We start from the raw sequence: 16,362 nt of genomic DNA on the forward strand, positions 1-16,362 counted from the left end.
ATTATTTCAATATGATGGTTTCTTCTGTAATCCTATGTATTTATACATGCATTTAAACAGTATTTGGAGAAGAGGCCTGAGTCATAAAGGTTAAGAACCCCGGAACTGACCCTTTTGCCGGGGCTGGGGAACAGACAGTTGAGAATAACCAAACACAGGGCAGTAGGACAGGAGTGCTGTGTATTACGGGATGGTAGGGTGAGAAGGGAGGAAGCACTTGTGGGGAGGGGGCAAGACCAAAAGCAAACGTCACTGTCCCTACAATTCTGCCGTGGCCGGCTCTAACAGCAATGCCCCAAACAGCCACAGACCACAGCTGCCATGAGGTGCTGTAACTGCAGAAAAGCATCTTTTTGATTCTCGTTCCCAAATTCACAGCCCTACCTTAATGGTAGAAAGCGGGTCCTGTAGAGGATGGCTCCAAGGGTCCACTGAACCTCCTTGTCGTAAACTTGCAAGGCAGTCTTTAAGCTTTTATAGTTGACAGGAAACGAAAAGCCCCTATGAAACACCTCAAACATCCAGGCCGATTTGAAGCACTGATACCTACAAACGGCAAGCACAAAGGCAAGTCAGACTGACTCACTCTGTCAAGATGGCACACACACACACACACACACAATCCTTCCCTCTGTGGGCAGCCTTGGGGCAGGGGCTTCCTCAGGCCGGCTCTCCCAAACCAACTGCGCGCGTTTCAAGGTTGATGTACTTGCTTCACATCCCTGGTCCCACAACATGGAGCAGTTCACCTGTCAAATCAATCAGTGCATGAACCCGGTCTCGGCATAATGTCATATATCCCTGAGATAGGTTTCTTTTCCAGCTGGCATTTCACCATGTACTCCTTGAATGAATACTGAACAGGTTCCAACCTCTTTGTACCTCAGTTTATTATAAAATGAGATGGTAGGAAGGTTCTCTTCAGCTCTGATATTCTATGACTCTAAATATTTATTAGAGGTTTATTTTTTGCCAAGCACTGTGCTAAGCAAGTAATAAGATACAATAATTAGTAAGATACAGTGTCTGCACTTAAGTGACTTACAATGAAAGGGGATTTTTAAAAAGCAACAGAAAAAGCAGAACATGATAAATGCATTGGCGAGGTAGGATGAATTCTTGAGACTCAGAGAAAGGGATGAAGTCTGATTGAGGGGACAGAGGAAGACTGGAAAGGGACAGCCTCTGGCTGGACTCTGATGTCTGGGCAGGACTTGAACAAGCAAAGGTATGAACAGGGGAATTTCAGGGGTAAGAGACAGTAAAAGTGACCAAAACAAAAAAGATACGGAATATGTCTGGGCACAAGTATTTGTCCCGTTTGAAAGGGGCCCAGGGTAGATGGGAAGAACAGTGAGTGAGAAGAAGCTGGACTGAGGCCAGGGTGTGGCAAGCCAGTGGGGCCAACACTGCATTATGGTTCTTAAGAGTGCCCTGGGCTTGACCTTCTAGTACTTACTTAAGCCTGTGGAGGTCAGCATGAGAGGCGTACAGTCCTCGGTCAAAGCGTTCCCGCAAAATGGACCACTTTGTTGCACAATAATCCTGAAAACAAATTCACCAAAATAGATCACTAGTAAAGGCTTATTAAAATTCTCACTTTAAAAATGGTTTACCAAATTTATATTTGTAACAAGCATATCCTTCCCATTAGGAAACACACAAGCTTAACTTATACAACAAATGGCAAGACACACAAACACTCAGGGAATACTTACTGATTCGCAAACACAATGCCTTGCCTTAAAATTCTGTCCAGGGTATTGTTAAAGAGAGCTTTGCTGTCCACAACCAACCTCTCCAAAACTGTTTAGTTTCTCCCTCCATGACTGCATGGTACGGGCATACATTTTTGGAAAAGTGAAGCAGTATTTTAGCTACTTCAAACTAAGTCCTACATCTGTGGAGGACACAGTACAAGCTACTGGGATAATAACTGCAAAAGGTTTTTGTCTTTAACAGAAGGGAAAGAGATCCCACTTTTCTTGAAGTTATTTGTTATAATAACTTTTATTGAGCATTGTGTAAGTGTGTCTTCTCAATGTAATACTTAACTCCTCGAGGTGGCTACCATCCCGACCTCTATTTAAAGGATGAAGACACTGCTGAGAGGTGGGAGATGGGCCTGGGTGTGTGACAGGGAGCACAAGGAAAAAGCACTTGGCCTGGGGAACGGGCTCGGCATAGGCACTTCAGGAACATGGACATGGACACAGAGAAGTCGCGGAGAGCGTGAGGGAAGCCAGCTGTCTGACATGATTACAGCATACAGTGCTCTGCGCTTCGAGATGGGTTTGAGAAATACTTGGAAGATAAAATACCACACTTGTGACTGATTACACTGGGGTGTATAGGGAGAGATGAAATGGTTAGAGGGAGAAGTCCATGACTCCTAGGCTGCAGGGAAGGGGACTGGATGGTTGGCGATGCCATTAACCGAGAGAAGAACAGGAACAGAATGGAGAGAGGATGGTGGGTTTGTCTGGAGTTGTGGAATCTAGCAGGCAACCGGGCAGGGGTCAGGATTGGAGCCTCTTCTTGAGAGGCAGCAGCAAACCCTGAATATGGATGAGACCATCCAAGAACCTGAAGATCAGGGGCCAAGTGTGGAAGTCTGGCATCACCTAAGTTTAAGGGGTGTCAGGAAGGCAGAGAGAACACAAGAACAGGAGTATCCTGGCAGGTCAGGGAGGGGGAAGGCTAGTAGGAGAATTGTCACATGCAGCAAAGCACAAAAATGACATAAAAGACTGTAATTTGGAGCTAACTGATGACCAGGGTAGCTAATGGAGTGGTGCAGAAGTCAGCGTACAGTACATTTTTTACTTCTGCTGTGACTATTCAACCTCCCTCCAAGCAAAGGGAACAGGATCCCAACATGCTGCAGTGCAGCCTTCTATACTCCGTCTTTCCCTGTCAATGTGAAAGGAGGACATAACCCGTCACCGTCCACACTGGTCTCTCAAAAGCATGCAGAGCAGACGGCGTCTCTCAAGGGTACCTTTGCAGCTTTAGTAAATTTAGCAGCATTGTAGTCTCCCCCCATTCGTAACACATCCTCGGTGCAGTAGTAGAATTCGGAGAAGCCATAGAATTCACTGTTCTGGAAGTGAATTGGGGGCTGGTAGACCCCATTGAGGGAAGTCTGGGTCTCGTTTGTTTTATTCATGAAAGGCTGGATAGTCTCTCGACACAGGTCAAAGTCTCCAGTCCCTCGTAGGTATATGGTTTGTCCATTTTGCTGGATTTCATCTTTAATGTCTAGGGGTAGGCAGGGGTCCAAGTACGGCATATCAGGAGTCAGACCAGTCTGTTTACCCAGGAGCCTATGGCAAAACAAGAAACTTCATCGTGAGTCCTACAGAAAACTGTGTTTTCAGGAAGTGGCTGCAAACCAGTGTTTCTCAAAATACGCTCTGTGGGACATGAGACCTGCAGGACCGTGTCTGTGGAACAGAAAAGGGTTCCGAGATAATTAGTTAGGAAAATACACACTTGAGACTTTCTTGGAGAGTCAGGATACAAACTTGCCTGCAGCAGACAGGCTACCAGAGTCCAGTTGGATAACCTACCCGATTAGCCGACGATCCTGGCAACAAGGCCTGATGTTCCCAGCTGCTGGGCACAAGGCAACTGTGTTACCAGCCCCATTTTTGCACTAGTGCTTGTGGTTTTACCTAATACAGATGGAAGGAACGTGACTGTGACAAGATCCGGTCCTGGGCAAAGCAGGTTAGATGCTTTAGAAAAGTTACTAGAAAATTATCAAACTAGGTGTGGGTAGGATTTTTAAAACTGGGAAAAATTAGCAAACATCTAGAAGGATTTGGTATCAAATTGCCTTGCAAATCTCTTTTAAGTCCTCAGTATTCTTTAAACAAAGACAAACTGGTATCTCAATGAGGGGTGCAGTGCATGCCAAAGAAAGGATGGAGTCTAAAAACAGACCTTGGTTCAGAGGAAAAGATTAGCAAATGAATACAGAAGTTAAGACAGAATGTCTAAGGCTTGGCTCTATTTTTATCATTCTGTTTCAACTTATTTCTTTCCTTGATCAGCTATGGGTCCCAACTGCAGCAGACAGCAGTTTCCATTGTACAATGGGCTCTGAGATGCCCTGTAGAAAATAAACATTAATTTTGTTAACTGAAAGGCACTAGGCTTATTACTTGCTAATGAAATTTCTGGGAGTTAACATCTGTCATCCTATTGTGTGTGCATGCCTTCAAGCAACAAGAAACAGAGAAGAGCTCACAAAATCTCAAGTGATGTTGGTGTTGGATACTGTGAAATCACAGGGGCCTGACAGGTGTTGAACTGTTAAAGGGTTAAGCATGGTCAGAATTCAATATTCATCACCGACAGTCAAGTTTTCACTTTTCACTCAACTCACAAGTTGTGTATTCCTCAGATCAGGGTTACTCATCATGCAGTTGAATGTAATAAATTAAGGTCTTTGCCATAAAAATGTTCGCTTAATTTAAAAAAATTAATCACCACTACAAATGGCGAAGAGATAAATGTGTACTTCAATGCTCAATTCATGACATATGAAACACCTGTAATTACTATAAAAGTCCAAGAGTAGTCAAATATATATTTCATGCTATTATTTTTAGTTGTCCTATATCTAAATTAAGAAGTACCACTAAACTATCCATTATATAAAGCTTTCTGACATTAAAACCAATGAGTAAAAATTAAGGTTTCGGAAAAAATATGTTACAAATGTTGTCTATAAAATATTTCTAGTTTAAGACTACTATAAAAATGATTATACCAAAATGTGCTAAATACCAATTAAAAATACAAAATCATGGGACTACCAATCTTATAATTAAAACTATTCAGTTAACTTTTGGAAGAGACACAGGAAAAGGTTTTTATTGCTTTTCCTATTTACACACATGACTTTGTGGTAAATGTACTGAATAGCTCCAACTTGGTCTTTTTTCAAGTTCAGGCCTTCACAGGTTTATTAAGATTACATTAATCAAGGAAGTATACAATCTCTTAGCTCTATGAACTAGGATTTTTTTCCCTCAAAATTGTTTCATCAAAATAAACAAATAAAACACAGTAATAAATAGGATAGCTTACATAACCCCAGATTCAGATTTTTTTATTTATCCAAATAGCTTTTATGTTCTTACAAATTTCAAATAAATAAGTGCTATATACTTACACTTATACAGTCAATTTAAACCAATAGAGTGCTGTTTTGTTTTATATATTTTCTATACCACAATTCTTCATACACTCATTTTTTAAAGCTTCATTGCTAAATTCAAAAGCCACTAACTCTGACTCTTCTAGATAATTTATTTCTCTTGAATAATTCCCTTCACGATGGTTCTTATCCACTAACTAGCTGCACTGGCTGCTTCATCCACAGAGTCTCCAGAACATCACATATTTCAATCTCCTCAGCAACAAGAGAACACACTACCTGAGGCCTCCAGGACACCACGAGTGCTCCAGATACTGGGTTTCCCAAGGACTCTGAATCATGAATAGCACCACCCAGGGCTCCAAACTATTCTATAGCTTGATGGTGAAATTTCTAATCCATCAGTTGAGATGCGGGTGAGAGAGCGCACGCACACACCTCCTTCAGGGCACGGTGGGACAGAGGGCCAAAGGCAGGACCCTGGTGTGCTTTCATCTCTTCTCCCTGCTCAGCTAGTGGGGGAATAAAAAGCTAACAGTGCAACACACTTTTGCTAATTGAGTTCTTCCCACTTTGCCTGGGTCTGTTTTTTATGAGGAGAGACCTAGGTTTGCAAATGACTGCCAAGTAGTGAAAGGTGCTTTACCTGTTCTTTTGAATGGTGTTGGCAAATATTCTGTCTTCGTATCTCTGTCGAGCAGCATTGCCACCAAACCCAAGAAACGTGGCCACATAGACTCGATACACATGCTCAGTTTGGTGAACATCACATCCCAAGTTAAATTCAGCTAACAAGTTTTTAGCTACTTCTTCCTGCAGACATAAGCATAACAAACCTTAATAGCTTAAGCTACTTTAGCCTCCTACTAAAAAGAAAAGTCTAAAAATAGTCTCATCTAAAAGGGACAAAAATGTCTGCTTCTGCACTTCCCAAGGACCCTTCTAAGCATCACTCATAATTCAATATGACAATTCTGATTTAGGAAATTTCAGATGGGCTGCAAATTTGTGATACTGTTATGACTTTTTGAAAGAGAAAGTCAGCAAAATAGTTCATACCCTCTGACATAATTTATTTCTGGAATCCTATGCTGTGGAAATACACCTAAACATGGAAATGTTTCTATATGCAAAGATGTCCTTTGTCATTCTGTGACAGAAAAAACTAGATGTCATCTAAATATATAATAGCAAGGGAAGGTTAGTTACAGTAATCAATAGCTTATGGAGGAACATGCTCATGCACTGTTAAATAAAGGACAAAAATCATATAAACTAAGATTATAACAACCATATTTTTTAAAACTATGAGTAGAAAAAAAAAGAAATTCACTAAAAGGCTAACAATGGCTTTTTTAGGTGATGAATCCATGGGAAATTTTTAATCTTGATTTTTCAGTATTTATTCCAAACGTTATTTCTATGTATTTTTTACTTTATATTGAGAGGGAAAAACATGATTTTTTACAAAGAGTGTAACAGTCTCTAGAGGCATGTCTGGAATGGGAGGTAGGAAAAACAAATTGTAATACTTGAATTTACAAAGCATTTTTCCAAGGAACTTAATAAAGATGTCAGTAACATTTATTGAGAACATACTAGCTGCCTGGCAGTGCATTAGATATACTGGATGCATTATCTCATTTAAACCTTCTAATAACCCCATGTTGTAGGTACTTTTGTTCACGTTTACAGATGAAGAAACCAGCTTAAAGAAGGTACATGACTTGCACAAGGTCACACAACTAGTGAGGAGGAGGATGATGAAGAAACCCAGGCCTGTCTAGCTCCACGGTCTCACTTTGAACCGTCCCCCGCCGGCCACGCTATGCTGCCGCCCACCTTTGAGGGGAAAATCCAGAAAGCTAGGCTTTGGTGTTAATCTACAGCTGAACACAAATGGAGTAATAAAGACGTGTAGCAATTCAGAAATACATCTGGAAACCGTGCCGGGGTTCTCTAGACAAGGCTGCCCAGGCAGCAACTGAGAGGGCACAGAACAGGGTGGAGAACAGTTCGAGTAAACCACCAGTTGAAAGATGTGGAAGCAGTGGATACAAACCTCAATCTTCCCCAAGGAAGCTCAAAGTCTGAACCATTAAAAAAAAGAATTTCCCCCAATTCTAACTTAAAAAATCAGATGTTATTATTTTACATTTCATAAAACCTGTTGAGAAAAGACGTGATTGAAGAGAAAATATAAACTGAAACTCAAGCATGCGACTGCGTATATACCAAAGAAAAACTCTACGTTCAGAAAACAAACCAGCTGATTTCAATGAACACACACAAGCGGCTCAGCTGAGGTCTGCCTTGTTCGTCCTGTCTCCTTTCTCCTGGGTTGAGAGGCGGCACCTCAGCCAGCACAGTAAAGATGTGTTCAGACTCAGAAAACAAAACAAGAACGATGGACACACGTTAAATGAAAACCAAACCAAACAGAAGGAAATTTGTACAGATAATGACCTGCTGTGAGGACGCAAAGCTTACAGTTTTGGGGACTTCGTACGCTATCTGAGTCGACACGCCGCCCATGTCGAGAATGCCCGCTGTCCTTTTACGGACAATGGCTTCGCTGCTTTCACTTCCAGGAATGTTAACTTCCACAACGGCCTCATCATCTAGAAAGAACAGAAAGTGTTCACTGGAACAGAACTAATCCAGAGAACTGGGCTCTTCTGAAGAGTCACCTTCTTTTCATGGTCTATTTCAAGCATATTCAGGCAAACCCAGTCTACTCCTCCCAACTAAAATCAAGTTGAATTACGTTCAACTGCAGCTGCTCTCATTCTACTCCTACACGCTTAGGAGTGTCACAAAGCTTAGCTCTTTTTTCAGCCTTTGGATTAAACAGAAAAGCACCAATTTCCAACTAGATACATTTGTTGGAACCATGACACTTACCATCTTCAATATGCTCAAATCGTCCAAGGACAAAATTAATGCCAATCCAAGCATACACACCTATAGACATTTTACAGGGTGAAGAGAAGAAAAAGTTTTAAAACATTTTGTGTAACTCCTATCTGCGCAGTCTGTGCAAACGTCTCACTTATTTCACTCCCTGATAACCTGTAAAATCATCTGAAATAACACCTTGCTACTGATGTTTTTATTACTCCAAATGGCTTTCCAAGAACTCTCAACTTTAATGTTTATAGTTTTATACCATCTACACAGGTTGGAAATACAATACGCTAGGTGCCAGTTTTCTTTTGAAATTTATGTTTCAAAATACTATAATTTTCACTTTTATGATGTTAAACCTGTCAAATCCAAGGTTTTAAAAATTCAAGGTATCAGCTGGGTGCAATGGCTCATGCCTGTAATCCCAGCACTTTGTGAGGCCGAGGCAGGCAGATCATGAGGTCAAGAGATTGAGACCATCCTGGCCAACATGGTGAAACCCCGTCTCTACTAAAAATACAAAAATTAGTTGGGCATGGTGGCGGCGCCTGTAGTCCCAGCTATTCGGGAAGCTGAGGCAGGAGAATCACTTCAACCCGGGAGGTGGAGGTTGCAGTGAGTCAAGATCGTGCCACTGCACTCCAGCCTGGTGACAGAGCGAGACTCCATCTCAAAAAAAAAAAAAATTCAAGGTATCTTCTGCTCTTTCCTTTATCCCTCCATTCACTCAGCTGCCAAGTCTGATTCTATTTTCACATTCCCTACACCTGGGTTTCATTGTCACCTTGGGTAGTCCATCTAATCCATCCCTGCCCCTATTCCTCTGCTGCAACCTGCTCTACTCTCTGCTATTGGACTCATCTACAGAAAGAAGTCCAAATTCCTGGACTGACAATTCAAGAGCCAGCCAACTGTTAACATTCCCGCCACTCCTTCCAGAAGGGCCACCACCCAGTCAAACTAAAACATTTGTGTTTCTCTGTCCACAGTGCCCTCTTTCCAACCTGTCCTGAGTCAAGTCCTTTCTTCTGCCTGGTGTGTGCTTCCTGCCCCTCCCTCAGAGCCCCACCCTTCCCATGCTCTGGCATGTTCTATTTAGAACTATCCCTTCCCTTGAGGTGCAGTTCAGATGTCACTTTCTCCATCATGGCCCTAGCTGGAAAAAAAAAAATGCCTCCCTCTTAAGAACTCCTGTGATATTTTTTCCTCATCTTTTTTCTGGTACCTAAAACCCTCATAGAACAGCTAACTGTGTAGCTCAATTGTCTGTAAGCAGCTGAATAGCAATGTGTAAATTTCACCCCATTTCTGTATTCTCTACAGTCTCTTTCACATAGGAAGTATTAATGCTGAAATGACAGACGGCTTTTGAAATACTTTTTGGTATACATTTCTAGCAAGCTATACCCCAAATAATTTCATTGACTTGACATTTCATTCTCAAGGAGAATCATTTCTTTGAAAATAGAACAAAGATTTGATATTTCTCAGTGTATCAAAGTCGAGAAGAAGCTCCAACAGCTCAATAATGATCAACGTCCCAGGAAGCCACACAACTTAGGCAAGGCACACAAGCCTTTTCTATCAAAGTGAGTTTATATCAAGCTATGTCACTACATGTGGTGAAGACAAACGGTTATCTTTCAGTGGCTTAATGTTAGGGCAACAAAGACTAGTCATATAAGAAACTGATTTAGTAATTTAAAAATTGTAATATTTCAAGGCTATTATTTCCCAAATGTTAAGACAATAGGAGTATAACAAAGGGTACATTGGTGAAAATGGGGAGGATTTAAAGGAACAGCTTCCCAAATTTTAAACTGAAGACCAATATACCAACCTTCTTGTTTCCCAGAAATTACTTCTGCATGAGAGTCAGAAAACAGAAAGTCAAAGTGCACGGGGATATCGGTCAGAAGGTCTTCCAGAATAGCTTTCTGCTGGCTGTAAAGTAATAAAAACATTTACAAATCAAAAGATTACAGCTTGGTATCTTCTGTTTAGAAAAGGAAAAAAATAAACAAACAAAAAACAAAACCAGGGATCTGGTATATCTTGTATGAAACAGTTAATTTTTTTAAAAAAGAAATTCGTTGGAAAGATTATATTAGGAATGAATTTTCAAAATGAACAAGTTGTGTGAATTATGTGATTTCTAGATGTAAAACTACAACTGCAAGCATTCCTTAACTACGTAAAATAGATTAGGTTTTTAAAAATGACACCTTTACCGTTGCCTATAGTCCTAAGTCAATTAAAGGCTATTTGGTGGATTCTGGCTAAAGGAATAGTTCTGGTACTGTTACAGACTTGAAGAAAGAATTTTGAATATTTTCCTTTCAATGATGATGATGATGATGGAGAGGAGAAGGAGGAAGGGGGAGAAGAACACCCCCTCTCCCCTCCAGGAACCCACCCTCACCCTTGCCCTTCTGTGGAGGATCACCTTTCGGGGAGGATTCTCATTCCAGCCGTGCAGAGAATGTAGAGAGGTGTCTCTTTGTGTTTTGCCCGTGGCACATGCTCTGCAGCAAAGTTCAAAAGTGGAGAAATGTAATCACTGACTTTCTCTGGAGAGGTAGCAAATTCTGAAATGCCTAGAGAAACAGGATACTTTAGTTAAGAAGCAGATATTTTAGCTATAACATGTGATGTTTCTTCAGAGTGGCTAATTTTAGGGAAATCATGCTACACATTACACTTCCTTAGTTTTTCCTATCCTTCTAGCAACTTCTTCTGCAGACCTTACTTAAATGTTGGTGGCACTATTCAGTGCTATGTCCTTTTCTTCTTCATCAAAGCACACAGACCTGACTGAGCATCTGCTGTGTGTCACTGCCATGCGCATGGGCTCTTGCCTGCCCTCGAGAAACGTGCTCCCCCTCTCCTCAGGTGAGCTCAGTCCCTCCTGAGGCTGCTATCACCATCAGCATGCCATGAACTCCGAACTGTGCCACCAGCCATGCAGCACTCATTAGCCTCCAGGTGAGCGTGGGGTAACTGTCCACCAGACACTGCCCTTGCTTGTCCTCACAGCCACCCCCAATGCATCATGGCAAAATCTGAACTCAACTTTCACTACAAACCTGCTCTCACTGCTGGTTACCTCCCTCCGAGGCCATCAGCGCTGGGCACCCAGCAGCCCAAGCCAGGGTCTTAGATGAAGTCCCTCTCCCTCATCCCAACACACAACCTGGGTTTCATAGATCGCCTCTCCTTGGTTCCTCTCACATGACTTTACTCCTCATCCCTTTGGACACGCCCTCTGCCAGCCTGCCACAGCACATCCCACCCTCTGATCCTGACCATCTCCCCACCATTCCCTACCCAAAGGATGCCTCTTCAGGCTTCCAATTCTTTTGTGGCTCAATGTCCTCCAGGTAAGGCTCAACTCTAGAACACCCTGCTCTGCATAACTCACCCACCCTTATCTCTTCCCATGTTCCTTCCATTGCCTTCAGCTACACTGAACTAACATTTCCATAATGCACCTTACTGTGGCCTTAGGGCCCTGCTCCTCCACCACCAAGAAGAGTCTTCTCCATCCACCTCCCTACCCCTTTTCACCTGGTTAATTCCTGCACACCCACTTGGCTCCAGCCTCCATGGAAGTCACCCTAACAGAACCCTGAAGACAACTCTTGTTAAATTCCATGCTTACTTCCTTTTGCTAGATGTACATTCATTACACCATATCAAAATTACCTATTTACTTGCCTGTCTCATTACAACTAAAAGCTTCTCAAGGGCACAAAATGTGTCTGTTCAAACTTATATTCATAGCACCTAACACAGTGCCTAGCAAATGGCAGGTGCCCAGCATGTATCTGCTGAATGAGTACACAAATGAATATTTCTAGGTGTCATTTAGCCTACAATATTAAAAATGAGGGGCGCTTTAGAAGTCTAAAAATACCTTATTTCACACATTAGAAAATTACAAACCCAAAAAGATTAAGTGATTCATCAAAGGAATTAGCAAAAAATTGACTAAACTGTAAGTTTTTGACAACACATACAATTCAATTTCAATGCACTCGAAGCCCTAAACTAGCCAGACCCTATTAAGAAATTTCTAGAGCCTTGCTGCAATGTTATACACGGAAGTCCATGCTTCAGGACAGAGTAGTGCAATAAAAAGGTATTTTGATTTCCATTTCATACACTTTGTATAGTGCAAGACAGACCAATGTTAAGCCTGATTTTAATGAGATTCTAATGTATACTCTAGGATGATAATGTAGTTGACCCTTTGTTCTAAAAGGACAACTCCAAGGCATGGAAGTTTTCATCTTATTCCATGAGATCTGTTTAGTCACTGATGGGACCTGGTACGTGAAGCTAGATGAAATGTAAAATGCTTTATTTTTTCAGTCTTCTCGTAAGTTTTTTATTTGATCAATATTACTTTAACTGAAAATGTTTCTAGGTTAGGGATACATAAAAATTTAAGGGGTAGAAATACATAAAACTAAAACTTAGAAGACACTCACTAAAAAATTAATCTTTGTTCATGGAAATGTACTCTGATAAAATAATGCTGGTATACAGACACACAGTAGGTTGTCTCTCTTTAACCTGAAAAGTGAGGTACAGACTTTAGATTTTCTGAGTAATATGCTGGTTCCTAGCTGCCCATACATCAAAGGATAATCAACTTGTTGAGGGCTGCCTGAAGGAGGAGGTGGGGTCTGAATTATTCCGTAAAGAATGAGGACTCGAGGGGTCACCATTCTACATGGTTGGAGACTCTTCTATGAGGATATGTATTTTTCTCATGTTAAACTGAATATTCTTTTAAATTTTATTTCTGAAATGGGGATAATAAGCTATAATAATTATTATTTATCAATATTCTCTAATAATTTACCAGATAAATTTCTTGGATTGTTTGCATTTGATATTTTACTATTTTAATACATTAGTAAGATGACATAAAAGTGCTGCATCTCTATTAAGATCTGTGGTCAACTGTTTGAAATCAGTGATCAACTATCAAGACATAAAACTTGTTTCAAGGCACTCCCGGTATCTCCCATTCTAAATGCTCCTGACAGAAGCTGCTGTCCATGGAAATGGTGATGATACAGAAAAAAGAGCATCACTGATGTAAATTACCTAATAAGGAAGCCAAACCTAAACTTTTACATGTCACACTGGCTTAGAAATTACAGTATCTTTAAAAACTATACATAATTATGATTAGCTCTAAGTTCTGTGGTCACACTCACCAAATAATCTAGATGACTAGAACTACATGTGGCCAGCAATTTTTAAAAGTGACAAATATATGCCAATATATTACAGATTTTCATGAGTTATCTGAAATTACCTTGTCATTAAGGATAGAGACCAATGGTTACTAAATAGGAAAAAACTCTCCATAATTAATGCCAACCAGCAACATCTGCGTAGATACCATGAGTAAGGCACTATTTAAAATGCTATGGGAGACAAAAAGACATGTCTGTTTGGATGTTTTATCAAGGTGTTAGTCACCCTTTGCAAAATGGACAGAAAAGGGAAAAGAAAGTGAAACAAGGAGACCCATCAGGTCCTGGTGTGAGGTTTGACTCAGGGCCATGGTGTAGAAAGGGAACGATATGAAAGACGCCACAGAGAATGAAGGTACACACCCTGGTTACCAGGCAGATGTTCTCATTTACATACCCGGTTTTATCTTCATGACCACTGGCTTTCGGTTTTTATCCCTCATTTGCCTGATATCCAACAGATCATGTGGATTGCCATTATGCCTTGGCCAGCAGTAAACAAATACTCGAGACCCACTGCTACCACAGTCCACCACGATCCCATAGTTCACATTGGGGTTATTGGTGTCTGTAGCTTCAATGTCGGTAACTCGTGCCAGGTACCTTGTATAGAAACACACGTATGCTTTGATTTAGACAAAGAATATCACCTGAAGTCTAACAGAGAAAATGCAGCAAATACCAAGTCAGTAATTTCTAAGCTATGTAGCAGCACCACTATAACATCAATACAACTGTTGAATAATTGAAGAGTCAAAAGAAAACAAAACAAGTGATGATGATAAAGATCATCTAAATCAGACACACACTCCATTACAGAAGTTCAAACAAATTCCAAAATGCAAAATTCTATTTCTAAACTACCAACTCAAAAATCAGCTTAAAACATATTACACGAGACGCTTATGTATAAATAATTATTCCAGGACCTCTTATGATATGGATTTGGTAGTTAGCAGTTAACTAGCTTCAAATGGTTTAACTGTTCATGCCATGATGAACATGGCACAGAATCTAGTTCCTACAGTTCCTTAAATTCCAATCTAAAGCCAAACGTCGTGAAGCCATGAAATGATGGTGTTATGGTCTGAATGTCTGGGGCCCCCCAAAATTCGTATGTTGGAGACCTAATCACCAATGCGATGCTATTAGGAGGTGGGGCCTCAGGGGGATGATTAGTTCATGAGGGCAGAAACTTCAGGGAGCCCCCTCACCCCCTTTCCATCATGTGAGGAAACAGCAAGAAGACCTCCTCATCTCAGAACCAGGAATCAGGCCCTCACCACACACAAAACCTATGGCACCTTGATCGTGGATTTCCCAACCTCTAGAACAGTTAGAAACAAATTGCTGTTGTTTATAAGCCACCCAGTCTATGGAATTCTGTTCCAGCAGCCTAAAACAGGTAAGACAGAAGGTAAGGCTTCTGGTCTAGAAAGCAAATGTTTTTATCTCTTACCTTTGAAATTTCTTGTCTCTGGTTAGTCGCCCATACTTATTTCGGATTATGACAACAGAAAAATATAAAAGTGAAACAGCAGCAGCCAGGACACTAATGACCATAATTTGGCGTAAATTGGTATTCAGAATTCGAGGACACCCTACTGGAGATATGCTAAAATGCCAAGAAGCAGGAAAAAGACAGGAGATGCCAATCCTGAAATTAGAAGGAAAAAGATTTTAAAGCAATCTGCTCCAATGAGGCTTCCTTCACCTAAAGTGATCCTAAAATAAGATATTTGGCTTGAGCTACCTGGATTTCCCTAACTGTAGGTATCTGTATACTGGCATCTTGCATATGCTACACAACAGCTACAAACCCCTTATCATAAAATCATCTGAATGAGAATCAGGCCCTGAAGGTTACGACACTTCTGGGTTTTCCCCTTCTCTTGACAGTATTATGTAGATTTTTAATTTTACCCTGCTTTGCTCCAACATAGATACAGAATTAGAGACTGCTTACGAGAATAACTTCAATAACATAAATATATAAATCGATCATGAAATCGAGTGTAAGGATGATGAGACCAAACGGGAATGCAGTATGGAGAAAGGCATGTCGTAAGCTGGGCCTGCTGCAAATACGACTGAGCTCATTGCCCATTACACCAGAAATATACAAATAGCTCAGGAGGAACAAATTTTCTCAACACTGAAGTCCAAGGCAAATTTCTCCCAGATGACTTGAGTAATGGGAGAAAACAGCATTTTAACAACATCCCCATAACAAAGTCAATAAATGAGTTTTCTATGTCCTGTACTTTTAGAAATATTCCCACAAGACATTTCTGCAAATAATCAAGAACTTTTCCCCTCAGTTTATGTCAAGAATGAGAGGCTCATTCTAGAAATATGATTAGGATTTAAAAAAATTTCACTGCCTTTGGGATAAATTCTATTATTTTACAGTTAATTTCTTTACTCTTCACCTTGAAGAGTGCTTCATGCATTAAAATACCTCACTGGGCCCTGGAAGAAAAAAGGTCTTAAACAGAAGCACAGCACAACTTCACATTTTTCACTTGCGATTTAGATTTTTTTTCTCTCAAGACCTGTTTTTGCATCACCAAGATTTCATGTTTCATGGTGATTAGGCCCATCACTTACCTCCCCATACTGAAAGGTCAGCAACAAGGCAATGCTCTGGGATTCAGTCCTTCTCACAAACAATTATAGAAATAATGCTGGGGTCCTCACGGAGTTAGAGCCCTCCTGTTCCAGGAAGTGAGACAAATCACAAAGATAGCATCATCAAAGAAAACATCTACGTTCTTTAAGTGTGTGCTTAAATCCAACCACATATAATCTATACATGATCCTTGCACTGAAGCTGTTGGAAGGGTTTATTCTGAGCAACACACTTCTAAGTTAATTTCATACTGTCCAATATAGACCTAAATCAAAAGAGATGATAATCGTCTGGTACTAGTTAGTGCTGTCTAACCTAAAGTGTCTGTGACCCCAAAATATCAGGATATCAAATAGGCCTTAAATACCTTATGGTACAAG

General features: G+C 40.7%; 1 protein-coding gene across 2 annotated transcripts in view; it reads right to left on the reverse strand.

Annotated features, from left to right (window-relative positions):
* ENTPD4 (ectonucleoside triphosphate diphosphohydrolase 4) overlaps positions 1–16,362 on the reverse strand; it is a 28,486-nt gene that overhangs the window by 4,771 nt on the left and 7,353 nt on the right. The window contains exons 2-12 of one of the 2 annotated variants that reach the window (NM_001128930.3): positions 15,961–16,065; positions 14,810–15,007; positions 13,748–13,953; positions 10,524–10,674; positions 9,918–10,021; positions 8,075–8,134; positions 7,661–7,791; positions 5,817–5,983; positions 3,002–3,326; positions 1,460–1,545; positions 385–546 (exon numbers count right to left, since the gene is read on the reverse strand). In NM_001128930.3, coding sequence (NP_001122402.1) covers positions 385–546; positions 1,460–1,545; positions 3,002–3,326; positions 5,817–5,983; positions 7,661–7,791; positions 8,075–8,134; positions 9,918–10,021; positions 10,524–10,674; positions 13,748–13,953; positions 14,810–15,007; positions 15,961–15,968 — 1,598 coding nt within the window. In that variant the 5' untranslated portion in view covers positions 15,969–16,065. Of the gene's footprint in view, positions 1–384; positions 547–1,459; positions 1,546–3,001; positions 3,327–5,816; positions 5,984–7,636; positions 7,792–8,074; positions 8,135–9,917; positions 10,022–10,523; positions 10,675–13,747; positions 13,954–14,809; positions 15,008–15,960; positions 16,066–16,362 lie in introns of both variants that reach the window. The other variant, NM_004901.5, reaches the window with a different exon arrangement.

This window comes from Homo sapiens, chromosome 8 (genome assembly GCF_000001405.40).
Source record: "Homo sapiens chromosome 8, GRCh38.p14 Primary Assembly".
Lineage (NCBI taxonomy): Eukaryota > Metazoa > Chordata > Mammalia > Primates > Hominidae > Homo > Homo sapiens.